Source organism: Homo sapiens, chromosome 3 (genome assembly GCF_000001405.40).
Source record: "Homo sapiens chromosome 3, GRCh38.p14 Primary Assembly".
NCBI lineage: Eukaryota > Metazoa > Chordata > Mammalia > Primates > Hominidae > Homo > Homo sapiens.
The window spans coordinates 19703634-19729271 of NC_000003.12; the positions used below are offsets into that span (position 1 = coordinate 19703634).

The window sequence follows — 25638 nt, forward strand, 5'->3', positions numbered from 1 at the left end:
AGAAACTCCGAACACATCCAAACATCAGAAGGAACAAACTCCGGATACGCAGCCTTTCAGAACTGTAACAGTCACCAGGAGGGTCCGCGGCTTCCTTCTTTAAGTCAGTGAAACCAAGAACCCACCAATTCTGGACGCAAAAGGTACAACAAACTTTTTGAGAGGAACAGAATGGTCAGCTCTAAAAATGTGTACTGGATATATGGCAATTGCACACTAGTTTTTTGCATCAGGTTAATTCATGTTCAATGCTTCTTGGTACGTGACACAAAAACCAGAATGTAAAGGAAGGTAAATATCAAAGTAGAGTCAAAGAGAGTGGTGGACAAACAGGATATCAATTATTACATTTACAACAATGTGCATTATTTTTATTCAGCCTAGAATATCCAATACAGTATTCATATAATAAGCACATTTTCTTTCAATATGTAGAGTTCCAAGAAAAGGCAAGTCACAGACGATTTCTTGATGTGAGTGGGACCAAGGTAGAGAAATTAATTGTATGATTCTTTGGTTATTACCAAATTGTAATCCAAAGTGTCCATTTTTCACAAAAGGATCACACATACATTTGGTACCAAGTGGTCATGTTAGTTGCCAAGATACGGTGTTTTGTTTTTTTTTAACCCTAGAGATTATTTGCATGGATAGAGTACCTCTGGATTCCTCCTTTCCTAATTAACCAAGTTGACTGGCCACTTCTCTTTGTTACCTTTGTTGAAAATATGCGAACACTTTCAGTCAAGACTCATAACCTATGGGCTATTTAATTTTTTTTCTGTTTTTTTTGAGACAGAGTCTCACTTTGTCACTCAGGTTGGAGTGCAGTGGCTATCTCAGCTCACTGCAACCTCCAGGGTTCAAGCGATCCTCCCTCATCAGCCTCTGGAGTAGCTGGGATTACAGGTGCAGGCCACTATGCCTGGCTAATTTTTGAATTTTTAGTACAGATAGGGATTCACCATGTTAGCCAGGCTGGTCTCAAACTCCTGGCTTCAAATGATCTGCCTGCCTCGGCCTCCCAAAGTGCTGGAATTACAGGCGTGAGCCACCACCCCCAACCCATACAATTTTATTAAATTTATTTCACGAGGGATCCACTGAGTCACCATCCAAAGTTATCATTTTACTCTCCCAGGTCTATATATTAGTCCCTTTATTTCTATCTAAGTCATTTGAGAGGCACTTCACTGTTTTGACTCCCCTTCCCATCTCACAGACAAATAAATATGTTCAAAAAAGGAAATGTCAGTGCGCCTATTAAACCACCATCCACTTCCTCTCCAAGGTAGAAATTCACCTACACTTGTCTGTTGAAAAACCTGAGGGACCTCCCTCAGGCACTGAACAACAGCCTAAGAATAGCCTGTTTTAAAAAATCAGAAAGTCCCTCAGTAATAGCAAGGTATAAATCATAAAGATCTCTTAGAGGCTGGCCTCTGGAGGTTAAAAATAAAGTTTTAAGAAGTAGCAACAAAGAGACTATGTTTAGGTTTTTAAATTCTCCTTGTGCTCTACTTACTTTGCTCAAGATATTTCAAAATGGCAAAACTTTTAATGAACACTGTAGAAGTAGGAACATATTGACTAATGTATGTTTCTGAATGCCTGCTCCATGTCAGTTCTCATAACAGGCAAGCAAGATTAAGTTAAGGTCGTGGTGATGGCTTTCAAGAAATGTACATCCAGGATAGGGGACAGAAGAAACAAACTAACAATTGTGATAGACGGTGAAAACACTGGAAAGCAAAAAGTAGAGACTTCATCTTCTGCCTATCCTAATCCCTTGGGAAGGGTTTAACCCTCCTCAGTAGCAGAAAAGAATAAAGAATACAATCAAGGCAATGGACTTGATTCTTTCCCTGTTCTTATGTTTTCTCCCATCTAATGATGGCACAAGTTGGAACAGAAGAGACAATGAAAATTCACAAACATTTAATTTATTTATCCTGGTTATAACAACAGCAGGGAAAAAAAAGAGATCTGCAATATTTCTAAAATTTCCCAGTGCACACGCTTTATTCAACCATTTACTTAACACGCAAGAAATATTCCTCTTTGACTTATCCTTTGTGCATTGCATAAAACCCTCAAAAATTACTTCTGTAATTACATAGAGCTATTCAGAGCATTGCTTTTTCAGCCTCTTATTAGAGTTGTTTGCATTTCGCTTTTCTCAGTATATCACAAAATGAGGAGGACCTAGAACAACTAGGAGGGAAACCTATAAATTTCAGCCCCTTTTAGACTCTCTACCGCCTTAGGTTGAATGCAATGGTGCAGTTGGCTCATCTAATGTGTATGGCCACAAAATTGTAAGCACTCAATAATCTTACCCATATCATCTTTCTTTCTCCAAATGACCACCAAGAATTCACTGATTTAATATATTGTTTTGATATCAAATGCAATATGCTTTCTTCCTCTTATATAATAGGTTTCTTTTTTGATCAATTCTACCAATGGTAAGGGACTGTGGGGAGTGAAGGAAAGACATCTACCCCAGTCCAGAGAGGCTCCCAAAAGAGATGATAGCCAAAATGATTGTGGAAAGATGGGTGGAAGCTAGCTAGTTAAGGAGGAAGAGGAAGGGACATCAGACAGAAAGATGACAACAGAGACAAGAAGGATGAGAAACAGTTATTCCTTCAGGAAAGCACAAGTTTAGTAAAAATGGAGTATCTGGAACATGTGATAGAAGGTCAAAAGAAGAAGATATAAACAAACCTAGAAGCCAGTCAATGAAGAGAACTCAAAACACATGGTTATATTAATCACCATGAAAGCAATGACTATATACTGTTCACTGCTACAATCCCTAGGACGAGGCACAGCACATGGTAGGACCCATATGTGATGAATGTGTAAATGAATAAATGAACAAATTAACAAATGAATATAGGCTGTCCTTTATAAATAGCAGTCCTATATGTAACACTTCCAATATAGCAGTTCTATCAAGGGAAATGTGAGAGACAATGATAATGTATATTCATATAAAATACAGCACTTTCAATGGTCAAAATGCTTCTCACCTGGGCTGGGTAGGTAGTTAGATCGCAGGTCTACAACATTGGCTGAACACTGAAATCACTTGGGGAGCTTTCATAACTCTCAAAGCCCAATATCCAATTAAATCAGAATCTCTGGGGGTGGAATCCAGCATCAGTTTTCAAAGTTTCTAGATGGCTCCATTATGCAGACGCAGCTGAAAACTCCTGTTGTTTATGCAGCAACATCGTCCAAGGTTTATGCAGCATAAACCTTTATGCAGCATCATCTGTCCAAATCAACAGATGATTTTCTACTTTGGTATACATGGAAACCACCTGAAGACTTTTTCTCATAAGCCACATGCCTAACCCCAACTACTGATTCAGTAGGATAAAGAAGGACCCCTACTGTGTGTCCTGTGAAAAAGCTCACCAGGGGATTCTGATGGATGCCAAAGTTTAAGCACTGTATTTTTTTTATTATTATTATACCTTAAGTTCTGGGGTACATGTGCACAACGTGCAGGTTTTTTACATAAGTATACACGTGCCATGGTAGTTTGCTGCACCCATCAATCATTCATCTACATTAGATATTTCTCCTAATGCTATCCCTCCCCAAGCTCCCCCACACCCCGACAGGCCCTAGTGTGTGATGCCCCACCCCCTCCCTGTGTCTATGTGTTCCCATTGTTCAACTCCCAGTTATGAGTGAGAACATGCAGTGTTTGATTTTTTGTTCTTGTGTTAGTTTGCTGAGAATGATGGTTTCCAGCTTCATTCATGTCCCTGCAAAGGACATGAACTCATCCGTTTTTATGGCTGCATAGTATTCCCTGATGTATATGTGCCACATTTTCTTTATCCAGTCTATCATTGATGGGCAATTGGGTTGGTTCCAAGTCTTTGCTATTGTGAACAGTAAGCACTATATCTTTAGAAAAGGGATAGTGAGTCTTGGTCACCTAAAAGCAAAACTTAAAAAAAAAAACTTGCTCTTTTTTTCTTAAGTTTTCAATCGTTTTGATTTTTTTTTTTCGACTTCTAAGTTCAGGGATACATGTGCAGGATGTGCATGCAGGTTTGTTACATAGGTAAACATGCGCCATGGCGGTTTAGTGCACAGATTATTCCATCACCCAGGTATTAAGCCCAGCACCCATTAGCCATTCTGCTGTTTCTTTCGTCATGAGCCAGGCACTGTCAGAGGTGCAGTGATGAAGATAGAAGGTGACAGAAGACAAACGATTAAAAGTATCTCTTCATTCAGAGAAGTAGGTACGCTTATCTATGTATGTGACTTGTTTCCTGGGAAACACATCAGGAATTGAAGCCACCTGTTGAGCTTCATGTATAAGCCTAATACTTGATCAGCAACTTGACTATCTATATCTGTGCATAGTGGGTAGTGGTAAGAAGGGCCTCCAAGTCCTACAGTTAGTGTTCCTGGGCAGTATTATTCACATATTACACATCATCTGTTTCTGCATTGCTGACTGTGAGCATTGTACTTTCTTTAATTAAACCTCTTGGGTAAAAGGATCTTCCCAAACAGAACAAATTCTGGAATGCTCTGCAGAGGTAAGCACATTAAAGAGAACAAAAATAGGGTCAGCCAATTATTTGATAAGAAGTGGGAAGCAGGAGCTATCATGTACCTCTCTTAAAAATAGCATGAATCAGGGGAGTTTAAAAAAAATCTTAATAGTCATCTGCATTGTCTTCTCTATGAGGCAAAATTTTTTTACATTTTTTAAAAGCCTTTGAAGACAATCAATGAGCTTCATTGCAGCACAGAGACAAGACTTTCTCAGACTCTCAAAGAAAAGTTAGCATTCATTAGTATTAAACTGAGCATTTTCTCTCATCAAAGTCAGTATGCATTCACTTGTCTTTATAACACTGCACTTATTAGCTTGTCTACTTCTATTATTAACTAAATGGAAGTGCATACAGATTTAAACATTGTTTTATTTTTACACAATTTGTTCTTAATTTTTCACCTTTTCTCATAGAAAATGAGTCCGGGCCTGGCGTAGTGGCTCACGTCTGTAATCCCAGCAATTTGAGAGGTTAAGGCAGGTGGATCACTTGAGGCCAGGAGTTCAAGACCATCCTGGGCAACATGGCAAACCCAGTCTCTACTAAAAATACAAAAAATAGCTGGGTGTGGTGGTGCGTGCTTGTAATTCCCCCTACTCAGGAGGCTGAGGCACGAGAATTGCTTGAACCCAGGAGGCGGAGGTTGCAGTGAGCCAAGATCACACCAGTGCACTCCAGCCTGGGTGACAGAGTGACATTCTATCTCAAAAAAAAAATAAGAGAAGAAAAAGAAAAGAAAAGAAAATGAGTCTGGAGTTGAATTGTTCTTATTCATAATAATAATTATTAATGAAATTTACCTTTCACATCTGTGTATACAATACCATTTAATCAAGTTGTTTTGCCAATTTTAATACAAGTGTTTTCATGCTCAAGACCTGTGAGCCTGTCCCATATTAGAACAATTAATGAGTTTATGATACCTGTCATTTGCTCACATTTTCTCAGAAGAAAAAAACTGTATCATGCTAACTGCCCTAATATGCTCTTTTGTGTACTTCACAGCCCTTCTACTTCTAATGTCAGTAATTAATATTTGCCACGTTTAATGAGGATTCATTCAAAGAGGGGCAGCAGCCTTTTCAACCCTAAGAACCCCAGTGAAAGTGGCTATAGTTACTGTGCTATAGCAAAGTCATAAACAGGGAAAACAGGAAAGAGGCAAAAAAAAAAAAAAGATGCATACTGAATCTGATAATAAAAAATGCTCAATTTAATATTAATGAGTGCCAAATTATTTCCTTTTTAACAATTTGAAAAGAAAGTAATATAAGCAGTAAAAACTACTTATTAATAACAGATTGTCATATTTCTGTCCTTTACGTGGATTACCTTATTCTTAATCTTTTAACAATCTTATAAGGTAGATGTCTTAGTCCATTTGCAGTGCTATAACAGACTGTCATAGACTGGGTAATTTATGTAAATAACATATATTTATTCTCCCAGTTCTGGAGGCTGGGAAAGGCAAGATCAAGACACCAGGATCTGATGGCAGCCTTCTCTCTGTGTCCTCACATAGTGGAAGTCAGAAGGGCAAGACATAAATTCTGTGTCCTCCTATGGCAGAAGAGTGAAAGAGGGAAGACCTACTTACACAAGCTCCTATTATATCAGCATTAATCCATTTATGAAGGCAGAACCTCCATGACCTAAACACTTCCCAAAGGCCCCACCTCCCAGCACCGCTGCCCTGGGAATCAAATTTCCAACACATGAATTTGGGGGACACATTCAGATCATAGCAGTGTTACCTAGGTAACACAGAAAAGAAAACGGAGGCGTACAGAGAGTAAGTGGCTTGTCTAAGGTTGCACATGATGCAAATGGACAACCTGTAAGTAGAACCAGGGCTAACTCAAAATTTTCATGGTAATATCTTTAAAAATGTTCATGCCACTCATGGGGAGAGGGGCAGCACCCACTACAGAATGTACCTTCCCATGCCATATCTCATTTTGGAGAAAGTTAGTGCTGTTGCTAATTGCATTGTTCAAATATTGAATTTGTTAAGTGTTTTCTCTCTGACAAGTGAATTTTGATGTTTAGAAATCAACAAGCAATTGTCCCATATTGAAAGGTTCTGACATTTAACAGTGGAAACTACATTTTCTCAAAAGCTGACTTCTCTGGACTTACTGAGTGTCTGTAAACATTTGATTATTTTTCTCAATAGGAGTGATTGATCATCAGAAATAAGTTGCAACCATTCTCAGACATTCATGGACAAGCCCCTTTTAGTTGCCATGGACTATCACAGATACAGATTCTAATCATTTTCTAAACTTAGAGTTGATCTGCTTTTGAAGTGGTTAGGGGAAAAAAAATACTCAGCATCTGATGGCTAGGCTATATCAGTGGAGAATCAACAAAAGGTTTGCCAGATACCTGCTCTGTAATTTAAAATGTGATAAATGCCATGGGGAACACAAAGAAATATAAGCAAAGTCCTTCCCTTTGGAAATTTTACAATCTAATTGGTAAAATGAGACATGTATAGATGAAATGATTCATAAAGGAGAAAAGTATGTAATAAAATAATTATGTGGAAGAAATAATAGTGTGATGAAGGTGTTAAACAAGCATAGGCGGTATTGTGTATTTCTTCAATTATTGAATATTAATTTACTACTTTGGTCAGGTAATACGATATTTCAAAGACTAATTGGATATGAACTCTGTCCTCTAGACTAGAAGTTTATAATATAATTGGGAAAATAAGTACCTATAAACAAAAATAAAACTGTATTACAAAGCAAAATATAATGTGTCTTAAAATATCCAACATGAAAAATTAGAGAAACTCATCAAAAAGCTTCTGAAAGAGCTGATTTTGAGGGCTGAGGAGACTTTCAATGGGTGAAAAGTGGGTGGAGAGTTCCAGAACGGAATTATACATGTGAGTCTGCATGTATATACATGCATGAATGCATGCATAATTAAAAATTAAGAAAAGGCACAAAAATTTAACTGGTTATTTATGAGTTGGGAAACTATAGGGGCTTGTTTATTTTCTTAACCTGAGTTTTCTCTCAAAAAGCAGTCTGAGACAGGTAGTTATTTTGGGAAGTGATTCTAAGCAACAGAATTGAAGAAGACCCAGTGAGAGTGAAACAGAAAAGGAGAGAAAGTCAATGTAAGTGTGCAGTCTTGGCTTGGTCACTGCTGTGGGCACCTAGGCCTCAGTCCTGCTGAGATATTCTGAAAAGCCATGTGGAATATGCCTCAGAATTGAACACCTCAGGGACAGGAGACATTTATTCCCTGGCTACTATGCCCATTGATCAAGAGTTACCCCAGGGATGCTAACACCAGTGCATTTGCAGATTATCCTTATGCAAATACTAGGTGAACTCCCACAGCTTCACAGTTAACAAACAGAGTCAGAAAATTCTGCTGAGGTAAGGTTACACTGGCACAAGGCTGGTCACTCCAGGAACAGCTGGGGTAAATTGTGTGCCCAGGGGGTGTGAGGAAGGGTACAAGATATGTCAACTACACCTGTCAGCAAGCATTTCAACAGTAGTTCTCCTCTTCATTTTTATTTTCAAGAACTTGTTAAATAGTAAATTGTCAATTTGTATTGTTACATTTAAGATATCGCCCTATAAACAGGTCATTTACATTTTAACAGAAATTAAACCATAAAAAACCTAGGTAGATAAATTAGGTTTATATTGAGATAGTTAAAGAGGAAACTAAAGTGGTTTTTCTTTTTCTTTCCTCTGAAAGAAAGTTTAGGAAGAAAGAAAACTTACTTTTACTGATAAGTACTAAATGTCATGCCCTGTGCTAGATACTTTGGAATATTTTCTCTAACTATCAACTCTATGAGAAAAACATTGTAATCTAGATCTGACTTGAGCCTATTTGCACCTCAGAGATTTCAGTTTAGAGGCTTGAAACAGCTCTTTCACAGCCTATGCAAATCTTAATACACACTCCAAAACTCCTGTGACTCCCAACTCTACTTCAAAACCTTAGCTCCTTCATCTGGGAGTGACATCCTAATAAGATCTTTTCTTGTAGAGTAGATGCAACTTGTCCCTTTAGTAGTTAACACCAAAAAAATCCAGTCACACTCATGCTTTTGGAAGTTTAGCTTGGGCTTTTAAAGCTTGAGGAATAACGGAAAGAGATCACACCCGTCACCACCCAGGCTTCCTTCTTCTCTAAGTCGCCTCATACCCTACTCCTTTCCAAAAGCCTGCTCCACATTCACAACCATCCTGATTGCACACAGCCGGCCTCTGGGGCAGGGAGTGTTGTTTCTGGCTCTGGATGTGGCACTCATGGGGAGCTGCCTGATCCATCTTGTCAGCCCTCCTTATCTCCCTAGAGTTGAATAAAGTGACATCGTTTCCACAACACTATTTGTTTAGCCAAGAAAATGTGTACTGACTGTCTATTCTCTTACACATTAAGCTCTGTGCTAAAAACTACAAATTATAGGCACTGACCTTGCCCAGATGGTACTCAGAGTTTTGTGGAAGAGATAGACAATTAAAATCGTAATTCAGTGTGATAAGTTTAGTGGTAAACATTTTCAAGTAACAGAAGAGATGATTAACTCAGTCTAAGGCGATCAGCAAAGCTTCCAAAAGGAGTTGATACCTAAGACGTATTTTAAAGGATGAACAGGGGATTGTCCTATGGAGAAGGGAAGGAAGAGCATTCTAAGGGCCACATAATTTACAAAGGCACACAAGTAGGCAGCTCCATGCTATATTTGAGAGAAATTAACATAGTTTTAAATAAATAGATAATAAACATAATGGGAGGAAAGTGTGAAATGAATTTGGATAGGTAGATGAACACTAGATGATAAAGTCTGGAGTCATGCTAAGCACCTCAGACATCTCCTGTTGATGTTGAGGGCCAGAGAAAGATTTGAAACAGCAAAATAACACGGTAAATTTTCTGTCACTCTGGTTACCATGTGGAGGACCACAGATCAGTCATAATGGAAGCAGGAAGACCCATTAGACCAGTAGCCCAGGTAAATAACTATTACACCACAAACCCTGACGGTGACATTGAAGATGGGTATTTAAAAGAAAAAAAACAGGCTTTAGAACTAGTTAGAAAATGAAATTGACTGTATTTGGAGATTTGTGGGATGTAGAGAGTAAGGAAGATGTTAAAGTCAAGAATGATATCCTAATGTCTGGCTGAGTGATGAGTGGTGACTCCATCAACCATTAAAAGAAATACAGGACAAAGGAACAGGTTTATGGTGGGTGGTAGAAAGGGAGTTTAATTTCAGGCAAGTTAAGTTTTAGATGCTGTAAAACATTATATTGGCTAGCTATTGATGCAAAATAAACAATGCTAAAACTCCGTAGTTAAAAAAAGATTACTTATCGTCATTCACATACCTGTGGACTGACTGGAGTTTGGCTGATCCAGGCTGGGTTGAGATGGGCAACTCTGATTTAGAATTAATGAGTGGGTCTGCTTCTCACCACAAGTCTTGGGTTGGATGGTTGGATGGGAAGGTTCTGTTCTATGTTTTATTCATTTTCCTTGAACCAATGAGCTATTCAAGACATGTTTGGGTTTTTTTTTCCATAAATATAGCAGACGTGGGAGAGAGCAGGCAGAAACACACAAAGCCTCTTAAGGCCTAGGCTCAAAACTGGTATACTATCACTTCCCTCCATATTCCAATAGCCAAAGCAAGGCACATGGCCAAATTCAAAGTCAAAATACCTTTTACCCACAAAGAGACTATGGCACGGGTGTGGAAGCAGACAAGGGTGAAAAATTGAAGCCAATAATATGTTGGCTCAAATATCCAGGAGAAGATTTGGGTAAGGCAGTTGGATATGTATAAGACTAAAGCCTGCAGAAAAACTCAGGCATAAAAGTTATAGATTCTTGTTTAATTGGAGTATAGCTCATGAATAAAGTGATAAAAGGAGATTGTATGTAATACATATAGTAATAAGAGGCAGCCCAAAGACAGACTGCTAGGAACGACCAACATTTACAGAGTAAAAGATGGGATTCCTTGAAAGAAATTGAAAAAGAATTGGTCACTAGGGTTGTAGGAGGCACAGGAGGGTTTCCTCTTAGGGAAGCCAAGTAATTAGAGCCTTTCAAGAATAAAGTGGTTAAAATTACATCACACTACTAGAAAACTAAAATATTTATTGAGTTTCTACTAAAGGCTGAGTATTATACTAAATTCTTTTACATGAATTATTTCACTTAACCCTTATAAGGATGAAATGAAGTGTATAACATTATTATCCCCATTTATTGATATGGAAATTGAAGTGAATAGAAATTAAGAAATCAATGCAAATTCATACAGCAATTGAGGCAGTATGACTTCAGAACTTATTCTCTGGACCTTGATGAGAGACTGTGTCTTAAGAATGTTAAATGCCAACTTTTCACTCTGTAAGAAATAATACTAAAAATGGCCGATATTTACATTAAAAAAAATATTCAGAGGATCGATCTAATTTGTTTAAAATCATGCAATTTGCAAGTAGCAGAGGCAGGTTTTGAACCCTGATCATTCAAACTCCAGGGTTCTTATACTGATCACAGTACCATCAACGTAGTAGTAATTCTTCTACACCTTTATTTCACCCACAGCTCTTCTCCAAGAACATGGGCTTTTCACCAAGGCTTCACCTAGCAACATTGCTTTTGTTCTATCATTTAGTGAATGACAGCTTAAGAAAGCAACAAAAAAGTAAAATATATGGATCATGTACAACTTTTCTTTCTGATTGATGTGAATTTCAAATAAGACTCAACAAGTAGAAATCAAAATCTGGTAAATATCAGTCAAACTACTGTTACTTTTAGGAGCCTAGGCTTGCTCGAATAGATAACAAATTGAACATACGTTTATCTACTAAATACAGTTCAATTGTACTCTTTATGGATAAGGATAGATCTCTTCACAAAACCAAAGCATTTGACAAATTCATAAATTGAATCTACATGATATGAGATCTTTGAACGTATTACTTGGCAAGATATTATACCTTTCCAAGATACTATAGAGAAAGAAAGAAATTATATCCTATTCTACAGTTAAAACCACATAAATGACACCATATAAATGGGCAAAAGTGATAGAAATGATAGAAATTATTGAAAATAAAGATCATTTGTTGAAGAGAATTTTTCTTTTATAAAATTTCCATTATTTAATTATAATAATGTTCATTCAGTAAATTATTTTCTTTTTTCTGAAAGGTTTTGAATCTACCCTATGACCCCTCCTTCCTTTTGAAATGAAAAAAAAAAAAAGAAAAACAACAACCAAAAAAAAAAACCTTCTTTTTTTTTTGTCACTTGATTTATTGTCGTTCTTAGAGGCAGGGTCTCACTCTTGCTCATAGTTCACTGCAGCCTCAACCTCCTGGGCTTAAGCGATTCCCCCACCTCAGCCTTCCAAGAAGCTGGGAATACAGATACGTGCCTCTAATCCTGGCTAATTTTTCATTTTTTGTAGAGATGGGGTCTCACTATGTTGCCTAGGCTGGTCTCTTACTCCTGGCCTCAAGCGTTCATCCCACCTCCGCCTCCCAAGTGCTATGATTACACGCAGGTCGACCACACCTGGCCTTGAAAAAAAACTTCTAAACATAAGAAATGTTCTTATGATTCATTGACATCATGTAAGAAAATTTTGCCTAAAATATTCCTCAATGTCTTTTTAAAACAGAAAATAATTTATTTAATAAATAAACTGAATTAACGGAATCCACTACTCAGGTCCCCTCCCCAAATTTTACTTGGATCTCAAGGACACACATTCACAGATCAATCCAATTACTTACCCAGCCTTTTGGGTTTAAGAATAAGCCATTCAACCCAAATTAAAGCTTCTTATAAATCTCTTTCTGTATCAAGTTTGGGAGAAACGCATATATAATTCCAAACCTTAAAGAAAAGAGAATATCCTTTGATGATGAGGCTATGACTTCATGCACAGCGTGAACAGGGCATTCTTTCACTCATTTACCCTTCTGTCCTAGCAAGTCTGAACCTTACAGGTTTTTTGCTCAGTGGGGGCAAGTTCCCACTTTACACACTTCCTTCACCCAAACCCATAATTTGGTGGAAAAGAACATGATGCAGTCCCCCCATACTCTTACTTTATACCTTAGAACACAATCAGCTATGTCATATTAAAATTTATTGTACATGATCCCATTTCTACTGCAAAACAGAGAGTAATTTGAGAGAAGGAACTTCTTGTATTCATCATTATACCCACGATGTCTAGAGCAGTGCCTGCTGTTATCAATAGAGGTTGTTAAATGGGCATAGGTAATTGCCAATAGAAACCGTGTGTTGCTAAGGCCCAATCCAAGTGACTGGTGATAATAATAAATGCTAATATTTACAGTCTTCCAAGAATAATGTTAAAAATCTTTTATGTGTACCACTTTCTTTAATCATCACTGGAACTCTATGGAGTTGGCACTATTGTTTCCTTCATTTTGCATATAAGAAAACTGATTCAGAAGTAAATAATTTGTGTAATGCCCTATGAATAGTAAATTGGAAGGTCTAGATTCAAACTCAGACATTTTGACTCCGTTCTTTCCCAGTGTTATAAGCTTCCTATCTTCGGTACTAAGGACAGCATTCTCAAGTGAGAACATGGAATGTTCTCTTTCTTCTGTATCTAGAAGAGGCACACAAAGCACAAGGAGAAAATATAGTTTCTTTCAGTTCCTGGACTATAACTTTGAGTTCTCTGGGCTTGTCCCATCTTGAGGTCATGGAAAATAGAAAAGAAAGGCCCTCCCTGCAGCTTTGAGTTCAGGAAATTCCTCCCTCTTTTATCTTCTTTTCTCCTGCTCTTTGCCAGAATATATATTGACTCTCCATTCTGACCCATACTTTGCCTATTGCTCCCAATTTAGGCTCAATAATACAGTTCCATAGTGCCCCTTTACTGATTTAGAAACCCCATCACCAAGTGCTACTGCCACAGACCCTAGACTGAGGGCCCTATTAAGGCCAGGGCCCTATAAATCACCCCCTCTCCCAAACCAGACAGAAAATACTTCCAGAAAGGGACACCAGCCACTCAGAGTGAGTTAGTTTTCTTTGAGAATATTCATTCATATTTTCTTTGACTCTCTCCAAATTTTCTCACCTTTAAAATGAATAATAATAATTCTTAAACACTAAGCCAATCATAAAATTTGCATACACTTGATCTTTATTATACCAAGTATAATCTCCAGACCAGGAACTTGGAATGTGGATTCTTAAGCCCCACCTCAAAAATATGGAATCAGAGACCTCATTTAGCAAGATCCATAAGTGATTTCTCACACATTTACATTTTGTGAAGCATTACAGTAGATGACAACCACTCTGTATTGAAATTCTAAAATATTTTCTACTCTTTATTCTTACAAAGTACATAATTCCTGCAGTTCATTCCAACATATTCCATATGTTTCTCTGTGTAACTAGAGGAAAGATGCAGCAACACAAAGCAAGGGCAATATCATTATTCTAGATACTGACTTGGGCCTATCTTGAAATGTTTATTGATTTGAGGTTGTTATTCAGAGTGTTCTCTGTTACTTTAGAGTTATCATTTTACTTTTCCTTGCAGAGAATGCCTTTATATATCAAGGCAGGGCATTGATATATAATAATATTACATAATAATATTATTATAATAATAATACATAATAATATTATTATATTATAATAATAATACATAATAATATTATTATATTATAATAATAATATTGCATTAATCTAACCCTAGAGGCTACCACATTTGGTACACAGTAGGTAACAAATAGTATGCTGAATAAATAAATGAGACCATTTTGTATTGCACATATTTGTTTTTCTAAATTAACTCCACTGTGAGATTGTAGAACCCTTGGAGGTAGGTGGCGTGTCTTACTCATCTTTGCATTTTCTTCCAACATCCAGCAGAGTACCTTACATGTAGTATTTGGTGCATAAATGTTTATTAAATTGAACTAAATTGGTCATTGGGCATGAAAAACAAGAGGTCATTTACCAAATTGGAGGATTTAATCTGAGAGTGAAGTTCAACCTGTTGTCAAGGAAGCAGGATGGAGAAACCATTAACAAGAAAAAAGTAATTATTACCATTAAAATATAATAGGATAAAATCTTACCTAAGGGAAAAGAAAAAAAGGACGTTAATTTTCTGGTGACTTAGTGAACATTAATTTTTTAGTGACTTACTGAGTTTGGGATTACTTCTTGACTCAGATGTTTTTTGATGCTTATGCAAATGGGAGAAATAACTACTTTAAAAAACATTGTGATGTCATGGAAATGCCACAGGCACTTTCCTTGTGTGTAAAATGGGAACAATGGAAAAACATCTGTTTTACAGATTGTTGTGAGGGTCAAACAAAACTCTGTAGGTAACGGGCTCAACACAATTCTTGACACTTACTAGATACTGAATAAATGATAGTTTCCTTCTTATTGTAGTAAATCAAATGCGTTTACTATACCCTGTTCCTTCATTTATTCATTACACATTTAGTGGATATCTACTCTGGAATCCAGAGAGGTTTCATAGTATAATGGCACTTGTTTCAAGCCTTGAAAGATAAAAATGTTAATAAACAGAGAAAAAAAAAAGAGAATTCAGATTGAAAAACAACATGGATAATAGCACAGTTAGGTGTGTTTAGAATACAAGGTAAGTTGAGGAATAGTAATAGAATTTGAAACTGAAAAACCGCAAGAAAATGGATGTCTTTAAATGCCAAGATAAATATTTGGATTTGCATTCTGTAGGCTTTTGGAAGCCACTCAAGACTTTTGGCATCACTCATGGCTAACTTTTTATCCTCTTCTCATCTCATTCTACACAGTCTTCTCTAGATGACCTCTATTCCTATGGCACTAGACAACTTAGATTACCCAAATCTACATCTCCAGCCCAGCTTGTCTGAGTTCACACCCATACATGCAACTGCCTAAGAACATCTCCATATGGAAAGCTCACAGATACCTTTCAGCTAACCATGTAAAGTTGAACTCATTATTTGTCCCAATTGTTCCCTATGTCAGATTAATTCCATCTTCATCCACCCAGTTCTTCCAGATTAATAATTATGATCCATCATTACTTTTCTTTCTCCCTTATCTTCTATATCCAATCATAACATTCTCTAGAATCAAACTTGTAAACATCTCTTGAATTTTTCTATTTCTCTCATTTTAACTGAACCCATACTTGCCCAAGCCAATGTGGTATCTCACTTAAATGGGTATAATAGTCTCCTAACTGGTCTTCTGCTTCAGCTTTTGCCCCTCTCCAATTCATTCTCAACACAGAAACAAAGATTTTTTTTATAATGTCAACCTGAGCACATTGTTGCCTTGCTTGAAACCCTTCACTGGCTTCCCCATTACACATGAAGCGAAATTCCAACTCCTTAAAATGGTTTGCAAAGCCCTACACAATTTGGACCATATTCATCTTCATCTTTATTTCCTTCTACTTTCCCCCATGATTGCCACACTTCAGTTAGGCTCTTCTAAATCAGGGTCTTTACACATGCAGTCTCCTGTTCTTAAAAAGCTCACCTTTTCTTTCTCCAATTGATGTGACTAACAACACCCCTTGTGCATCAAGTGTACAGTGCATTGTGCAATGTCTGCCCTCCTGGGAAGAATGCACAAAACCAATCTTAACTCTCTGTGCCGTGGTGCCTAGGCAATGCCTGGCAAATGGTAGCTGCTCGATAAAGGCACAAATAAAAGGAGTGATATAACCAGAACTGTGTAGAATCCAGAATCCATTTGATGTCAGATGATAGGTTGTCTTGGACAAGTCAGAAACCAAATTCAGCAAGCTATTGACAAATTAGATGAGAGCCAGGCCTGAGTTAGATAAATAAGGGGAAAAAAGATAGATACAGTAAAAACTACTGATGTCCACAACAATATTCTAGAACTGAAATAAAAACTCACCACATGATGTCTACACAAAGACATGAAATGAGACCAAAAGTATCACCGTATATCTGGACTGCTTAGAAGAAATCTATTACTCTAACAGCTCTTCTTCCTGATTCTATAGCCTTTGCCATTCTCCCTCAGAAAGTGGCCTCAAAATGCAGCCTACGTTTTAGGACTTTACAAACCTATTCAATCTATAATAACTGCTTATAAGTCTATTTCCACTGCCTTAGAAAACAGCTTAGACAGATTTTCAAAGGCATTTTAATCTACCTCAAGAGAGAAACTGTTTACATATCCTTCTAGAACCACTACATTATTTCCTGTATTATATTTGATGTGAATAAAACTAGAGGGAAATATCTAGTAATGTAAAATAAACCCAACAATATTGTTCAGTATAACTACTGGTTAATATCTAATTTTGAAAGTGTATTTTTGGCTGGGCACTATGGATCACACCTGTAATCCCAGAACTTTAGGAGGTGAAGGTGGGAGGATTGCTTGAGCCCAGGAGGTCGAGGCTACAGTGACCATGATCATGCCACTGCACTCCAGCCTGGGTGACAGACTGAGCAAGACCCTTTAAAAGATGAAGGAACGAAGGAAGGAGGGAAGGAAGGAGGGAGGGAGGGAAGGAAGGAAGGACGGAAGGAAAGAAGGAAGGAAAAGAAAGAGAGAGAGAAAGTAAGTTTATTTTTTGCAGGAACATTTTTTGCTTGGTATCTCTATAACTATGGGCATTGATCACTCAGTGAAAATATCATTAGGATGTTTAACGGAAAAGGCGTATCATTGAATATGCTTTCAGTCAAACCCCAGCAAACTAAGAATCTGCCAATAAGCTGTTTTAAAGTCAATTTTAGAACTTTGACTTCTATGGTTAAATGTATTTCCAAGAAGCCAACTAACCTAAATATCAGAGTAAATAATAGGTCTTTATTCCTATCCACTACTCTGGACCCATCAACACCACTAAAGGAATGATTTTTTTTCTTAATCCAGGAAAAAGATAAACAATAACTTTTTAGTTTCTGTGAGTTAGGTTTGAAGGAAGCAGCGGTGTTGAACAAAGATTTATGCAATGACCTTGAACAAGTGCCTTCCCTGCCTTAGTTGTCCCATATTTCAAAAGAGAAAGGACAACCAGATGATTATTAAGTCTTCTGCTCTTGGAAAAATGTCTTATAGTCCAAGAGAGAGTCAAAGTGTCATATGATGGGATGTGTGCAACAATAATATTCAGGGGTAACTAGGCACTGCCTCTCCCTGGAGCTATTGAGAAAGAAAGTCTTCAAAGGAAAAAAGAAAGGCTCTTGAGCTGAAGCCTCCAATGATAAACAAGAGTTGAATCAATGACAAAAGGAGAGAAAGGCAAGCCAGGCAAAAGAGGCAGTTTGGACAAAGTCCTCAAGGTCTGAGAAAGCATGTGGTTACAGGAATCAGCAAGTGTTTTGTGATAGCTAGTGCACAGTATGCCAGAGACAGAACTGCAGGAGGTGAGCTTGGAGATGCAGGCTGGAACCAGAAGAGTTGATGTACATTGGGTAGACAACTGGGGAAGGGAAGGTGGGTGTTAAGGGATTTTAAGGAAGGATAAAGTGTGAAAAATTTTTTATCATACAAAAATTACTCTGGAGTAACAACAGAGGATGTAAAGAAAGTAGGAGATACCAGATACAGGAAGACCAACTAAGGCTATTATTGTGAAGTTGTAAAGTAATGAGTGGCAGTGAGGATGGAAAGGAATTTTTTTTTTTTGAGACAGAGTCTCACTCTGTCTCCCAGGCTGGACTGCAGTGGTGCAATCTCGGCTCACTGCAGCCTTCCCCTCCCGGGTTCAAGCAATTCTCCTGCTTCAGCCTCCTGAGTAGCTGGGACTGCAGGCATGCACCATCACGCCTGGCTAATTTTTGTATTTTTAGTAGAAACAGGGTTTCACCATGTTGGCCAGGATGGTCTCGATCTCCTGGCCTCGTGATCTGCCCACCTCAGCCTCCCAGAGTGCTGGGATTATAGGCGTGAGCCCCTGTGCCTGGCTGCGAATTTTTAACACACATCAAAGAAACCCTATATTGTGAGGGGCTAGATAGCTTGATAAATGATTGGATGTAGAGATAGGGTAAGCTGATGCTTTTATCAGGTGAAAGTACAACAGAAGTGCTAACATACACTGCTGGTAAGAATGTAAAATGGTGCAACCACTATGAAAAAGTTTGGCAGTTTTTCAAAAGATTAAATATAGTTACCAAATAACCCAACAATTTCACTCCTAGCTATATACCTGTTAAAGTGAACTAAATATGGCCTGAGAAGGACTCCATACTTCTATATTTGAGTCCTTGTGGACAAACTGCAACCTACCTTAATAGGTAGACAAGATTGAAAACCTAACTTTGGAGTATGCATCTGTAACAATAGCTAAGACTTGGCCAATCCTAGTGGCCATACTTCAACCATTCATACACTACTGAGTGTTCAAACTGTGTTCAAATAAGGCAAATGCTGAGCTGTATCCAATCCAGCCATTCTGTACCTCACTTCTGATTTCTATATGTCATTTCCCTTTTTTGTGTCTATAAATCTTCTTCCACCATGTGGCTGCACTGGAGTCTCTATGAATCTGTGTGATTCTGGGGGCTGCTCGATTCATGAATCATTCATTGCTCAGTTAAACTCCTTTAAATGTAATTTGGCTAAAGTTTTTGGTTTTTTATCAGATGGTGCCAGAAGTGGGATCTCAAGTAGAGCTTCCCATGACCCCCAGAAGTGCTGAATGAACACACAAGGTACCGGGTGCAGGACCACTTGTGTCCAAGGATTTCCCAGAGTGGCTCAGGATCTTGGGTAAGCTCCCTTTCAGATTTTGGTGCTCCACGAATTTGTGTTTTGAGATTCCCCAAGTTTCTTTGAGCAAATTCCTGACCCAAACTGGGTTTGGAAGTCATGACAGAAACTGGACTGGGTCCAGGAATGGATTTGATCCAGGAATTAATGGGCTTGGATCCAAGTAGAGGCCTCTTACATCTGACTGGGTCAGAAATGAACTGAGAGTAAGCAGTAATATTGCAGGGGTTATAAAAGTTGGCTTTTGAAAATTCACAGGGATTTTTGTGTTTATTTCATTTTTCTTGTGCACTTAGGTAGGAAAAAAAAAGATCATTGGCAAAGTTTATCAAGAGAACCTGAGAGTAAAGTCATTATTTTAAGACAGAGGGATCCTTATTTCTGGAAAACTGAGTTCCTTGTGGCTTATACATTAGGCCTGGAGGCAGCAAAGTCTTACAGAAATGGCAAAATCTTACTAAAGATAACTTACTGTGGAGCATTCCAAATAAACAACACCTTGAAGCGCATTTTAAAATGAGGGCTCTCAGTAAAGTCCCTTTCAGCTAAGAACACAGTTTGGCACTATGGGATGTTAACTGCTATTCTCTTTGCAATAATCTGCCTTGCACACTTTGCTGACAGCTATGGGTGACAGGATTAGGCATGTATAAGGGACCATGGGACATGGGGAGCTTTTTCCTCCCCAAAAGGGGAAACTTGAGAGCTGATGGGACTGCTGGAAAAGGTCCCTTCGTTACTGACAAGCGGCTACCTGAAATTTTCAGTGTTGCTGTAATGAGTGGGTGGATCTTTCTCTGGCCTCCATGAGCTCTTTGCCTTCAACACCCTGCCATAGGCAATGCTTTTCCCTCTCTCTTTTCCCTCTCTGATCTTTTCTACCACTCAGAGCGGCCATCTTGCCCAGAGACCACATAATGAAACTCCTATTTGGAGGTTGGACTAAAAATGATGGAGCCTATCTAAGGGCAAATTTAAGCCTTGCCAGTTCAATATTGGATGTTAAGCAGAGTGGTTAATGTCTATGTTTTGTCACTTGTATTTTACTCTGGCCGGAACAGAAAAAGATAATTTTCTTTTGTGTTGTGGCTTAGCCCCCAGGGCTACAGTGCAGTGAGCTGGGTCACAAGGGCCACTCAGGGAAAGGAAATCCAGAAGCCTGGCATGCTGGCAAGAGGGTAAGAATTTCTTACCAGTCAGACTTCTGGCCTCTCTCTCTCTCTGTGTGTGAACTGGTTAAATGAATGGTAAAAATCCCTGTTTATCTCCTTTGTAGAGTTTTGATTAATGGGAAAAAGGACTCACGAGGCTAATCTTAAGCTGTAGTGAATGTAGTGTGCTTTGTGTGTCTTTCTGTGTCCTATAATGGAGAAGGGTATACCTTAGGATAGAACATGGGCTTAGAATACCTGTAAGCCCACTGTTCAAGATGATCCAGCAAACTGGTTAGTTATAAACTTTGCTGCAGGTCCCTGAAAAAAAAAACTGGATGAGGTTTCCCTCTTGTCTTGTGTGTCCTTGGGAGCTTGACCTTGTGACCACATGACCATGCTTTCTCTTTTCACAAGAGAAAAGGTTGCTCAGGTTCAGGGTTCAATTCCCAGCTTGGAAAATGAGTCCTTTATCTTTTGCTGTCTATGTATTTATATATATTATATGTGTGATGTTTATATATGAAAGAGCTTTAATTGGTTTAAAAATAAAAGCTTAAATATTTTGTCAGAAAAGTAAAAAGTGTAATGCCTTTTTTTAGTTCATGTGACTTAAATAATCTTTGGGAAATCAAGACAGTTTTAAAGATTATTGGTAAAATAAAAATTTCTTCAAAAGTGTAAACATTTGGTCTAAATTATGCAGGTCAGATATTAAGTTTGCTAAATGCTTTAAGGTCATAAACTGCTTCTTTGACTTTTAAAAATTGTTCAATTACTTTTTGGAGCATTAAATTCTAGATAAGACATGAGGACATGTGAAATTAGCCATGCCCCCTAGCTATGCAAAAGTATTAAATAAAAGAGATTTTATACAAGAAAGGATCTTGTATGGTAAATTCTCATCCTAAGCTAAAGTAAAATGACTGGTTGTTTAAAAAAAGGATGTTTAGGACAAGTCAGAGAATCTAAGCATGCCGTAGGTGGTCTACGTAAGCCATGAAAGAATTCATGAAAGGGAATGTATGCAAGAAATGTTGTACAATTTAAAGGTGATTAGGCCTCCTAAATACTTTGTAAAATGCCACTGTGACTCTTAATGGTACAACTTGCTTGCTTTACAGTTAGGTAAGGCCTGGGACACGTGGAGTGAGATGCTAGAAAGAGTCAGACCTTATTTGCATTTTTGTCTGGGTCCTAGGCTCCACACCTACTATCTAATTAAAATCCTGAACTTACCAAGGTTTTTCACCAAAAGCAAAAGTTGCTAAGGCTTAACAGTGTAACATGTATTTGAAACTACTGAAAAAACAGTTTTACATGTGAAGTATATAAAGAAAGTGAAATGTGTTTTTGGTAAAAGATTATTAAAAGTCATAGGAACGTGAATTTTTTTGCCTAAGTTTAGAGGGTTAAAAGGATTGTTTTAAGTGAGATAGGAAAAAACTAAAGGTCTAAACAGGTTGTGGAAGGTTTGTAAAAATTAACCTTGTAAAAGAAATATCTATGTGTGAAAATATTGACTAAATTTAAAGGGGTATTATTCAGTTTTTCCATAAGTTGAACATAGAAATAAAACCACAACAGGGATTTCTTAAAGTAATAATCTGCTCTTTAACAAAAATTTGTAAAGAGTTATAAAAGGTTTATAAAAATCTTGCCTTACAGTCAAACTGATTAAGATTGGATATATTTGTCTATGAGGTTTTATTAAAAATTGGGGTTGACATTAATAGTTTACTAATGTAAGGGGTAAATTTGGCTTTCTCTCTTGAACAAGATTTTTGTGTAATATTAAAAGATAATGAAAATTTTTTGTTTGCCTTTTAAATACAGTACCAAAAAAAAAGAAGGGAAAGACAAAAGACAGATTGTTTGGAAAGCTAAGTTTTCTCTTTATCAATGAGCAAAGGTTTTTGCCTTTTTAAAAATTTTTGAGTCATCATTTTGGCTAAATGAATGATTTATATAATCTGGAATTCTAGTTCATAATATCAAGTGTTTTAAACCTTTAACATACTTAGTAGGCTTCCCAAAATCAAATTTCAGCTTCAAAATAGTCTTTTCTGACCTCTAACTTTGAAATGCTACAGAGGGTCCTTGAAGCATTCAAAAGAGAGGTAAATAGAATTATTTAACATGTTAAGTTAAATGGGAAGCATTGTCAAAATAAAGATAATGTTTAATCTTCAGGCTATATTTTAGTGAATATTAATATATATTCCAAAATTGTATAGGATTTCTAAAATTCTAATATGTCTAAGTATATGCTATCAATAATAATTACGGTTGCTATGTTAAGGTATTGTATACCACAGAAATAGCCAAATTTCCTTGTATAAAATTGCTAACCCAAGTAGAACAAAAAAATTAATTAAATACCAAGAAAATACTTTGCCAGAGTTTCATGTTAAACCAGCCAATAATGAAATTGTTTGGATATACAATTTGAACTCCATGATCTAAGTCAAATACCTATAATAACCCATTAGTTATTAGTGCTATGCACCTAAACTGAAGAAACAATTGGTATTCGAGAGGACGTAAGTCCAATGGTAAGCATAGACTCATGGAAAATCAAAACAGCCACCTTGTCCTTCCTGAGTCCTTAAAGCTTTTGTTATTAAAGTTTCTGCATTCCATGACTCATCATGGAAAAGATAAGATGATCCAAATTGAATATATTGATGTGGTGACTTATAAATTGCAAAAACAGTTTAACACCAATGTTTGTTTCCATATTCCTGGGAAGACAATCAAACCTTCAGGTACCTTTGGTTACCTGATGGGTCATTTACACATCTATAAAGGGATTTAATTCAATTGTCATTTTCAATGCATGTTTTATAACAGTTAATTATTATGCCTCAGTATATTTTCACCAGGTAAAGAAAGCATTTATGATTCACTAAGGACAGTTAACCCCTTCACAATCTAGAATCTGAAGATTGGATCTTCTGAAAACATCAGAGAAAGACTCTCCTTGCCATCCACACTGCAACAAAACTTTGGAACCTTGAACCTTGGATACATAATCTCACAACTGAGAAGGATCCCTCCACATTCTTGGAACTGTACACCCATTGGAACCCTTAAAGTAAAACTAACCAGGAAAGTTTCTCCCCAGAAGATGGCATCCTTGATGTGAACAGCTTTTCCCAAGATCACAGATCAACACTTCTACTATCATGAGACTCTTACCTTTGAATATTTTCCTTGTTTATGCCTCTGTGAACAATAGAAATGAAAAGGGGTCTATTATGTGCACTTACAGGGTATACTTTTATTTGTTAAGAACTTTGCAGCCAGTATTATACATGAATAACCTTATACTTAGATAGATTAAAAAATGAAGTCCCAAGGTAGGGGAGAAACTTTAATGGTACATACATTGCCTCATAATCCGTCAAAACTCCTTTTAACCTACATCATGGGTTAAAGAGAACATTGCCAGGAGGCCTTCACTCTTCCACAAGGACATCATTTGTTAGGTCTTTTTTCCATGATTTAGAATAAATAGGCAATAATTAGAAATGTATCCCTCATAATAGGCTTTATAGCAGATTCTACTGTGAAGGTTAAGGTTACACAACAGACTTTAAATTCTCATGTGAAAGTTACGTTAAATAATAGAATTGGCTAAACAGAACAGTAACTTTGCAGCTGCCAACACTTGTGGCCTATAGAGAAATACATCAAATGTAGATTATAAAAATTGAGTTGTAGGGGATTAACGAAAAGACTACTCAGTCAAGCAAGTAGATCTTCATCTAGTTCATTCTTTAATCTACTTAATTTTAAGTGGTTTGGTTTATGGGAACCCTGGGTAAGGAGCATACTCCAAACTCTTGGTATTATCCTCCCAATAGTGATAATAATAATCTCCTTGGTGCACTGTATTCTCTCAAAGGTTTTAAATGTTTGCATGCAGCCATCTCTAGAATGTCAAATGGTCTCTCCAACAGGAATGACAAAAGCTGAAAGAAATGAGTGACCATAAGGATACTGTAACCTACAAATGACGTGCTGAGACCAGAAACCCAAAATGATGGTAACAGAGAGTGACACTAAGGCCCTAAGTTTTGGTCACACTCTCACCTAAGTGAGAACCTGACCTGAAAGGGGGAATTTTTTAAACAAAATTATGGAAGGCCATTGTTTTGAACTAAGCTCTTGCACTAGGCCCCAACAGGCCAAACCAAACTAAAATGGAGTTACTCATGCTAAATGTGACATAAACAAACTAAGACTTGAAGAAAACACATAGATCATAAAACAGACCAGGTTTTGTTTTTCTCCTGTAAACAGGATGTTCCCGCATAAGGAGGTACCCTCTACTCAATCCCTGTGCCTACCTTTGTAAAACTCGCCGTTCTACTGTTTCCCAGTGGGTTTCAAGACCAAATAAGTACATTTACAATGGTGATAGTGACATCAATAGCTAAAGTTTTGGTCATTCTCTCGAAATTGAGAGAATGACCAAAAGTGGGGAATTGTTAAAGCAAACTAAATACGGCCTGAGAAGGACTGCATACTTCTATATTTGAGTCCTTGTGGATGAACTGCAACCTAGCTTAATAGGTACAAGATTGAAAACCTAACTTAGGAGTGTGCACTTCTAACAATAGCTAAGTCTTGCCCAATGCCAATGGCCATATGTCAACCATTCATACACTGCTGAGTGTTCAAACTGTGTTCAAATAGGGCAAATGTCAAGCTGTGACCTATCCAGCTGTTCTGTAACTCACTTCCAATTTCTGTACATCATTTCCGTGTTTTTTTTTTTTTTTTTTTTTTGTCTATAAATCTTCTTCCACCACATGGCTACGCTGGAGTCTCTGTGAATCTGCTGTGATTTCCCGTCATGAATCGTTCATTGCTCAAACTCCTTTAAATTTAATTGGACCAAAGTTTTTCTTTTATCATACCCCAGAGAAATGAAAACTTATGCCTACACAAAAATTTGTACAACAAATCAACATAATGAAATATTATTTGTCAATAAAAAGGAATGAAGTACTGTTACATGCTACAACATAGATGAACCTTGAAAACATTACACTAAGTAAAAGAAGCCAAGC

The 25638-nt window shown here is 37.3% G+C and overlaps 1 long non-coding RNA gene across 2 annotated transcripts; it reads left to right on the top strand.

Annotated features, from left to right (window-relative positions):
• Positions 1 to 5: 5 nt before the first annotated feature.
• Positions 6 to 25324, top strand: LOC105376984 (uncharacterized). Of its 2 annotated transcripts, none has more exons than XR_940642.1 (3): positions 6 to 143; positions 19280 to 19406; positions 23429 to 25324. It is a non-coding gene; the product is annotated as an uncharacterized LOC105376984 (long non-coding RNA). The 2 variants fall into 2 exon arrangements; XR_940643.1 differs by having other exon boundaries at positions 23496 to 25324.
• Positions 25325 to 25638: the final 314 nt, after the last annotated feature.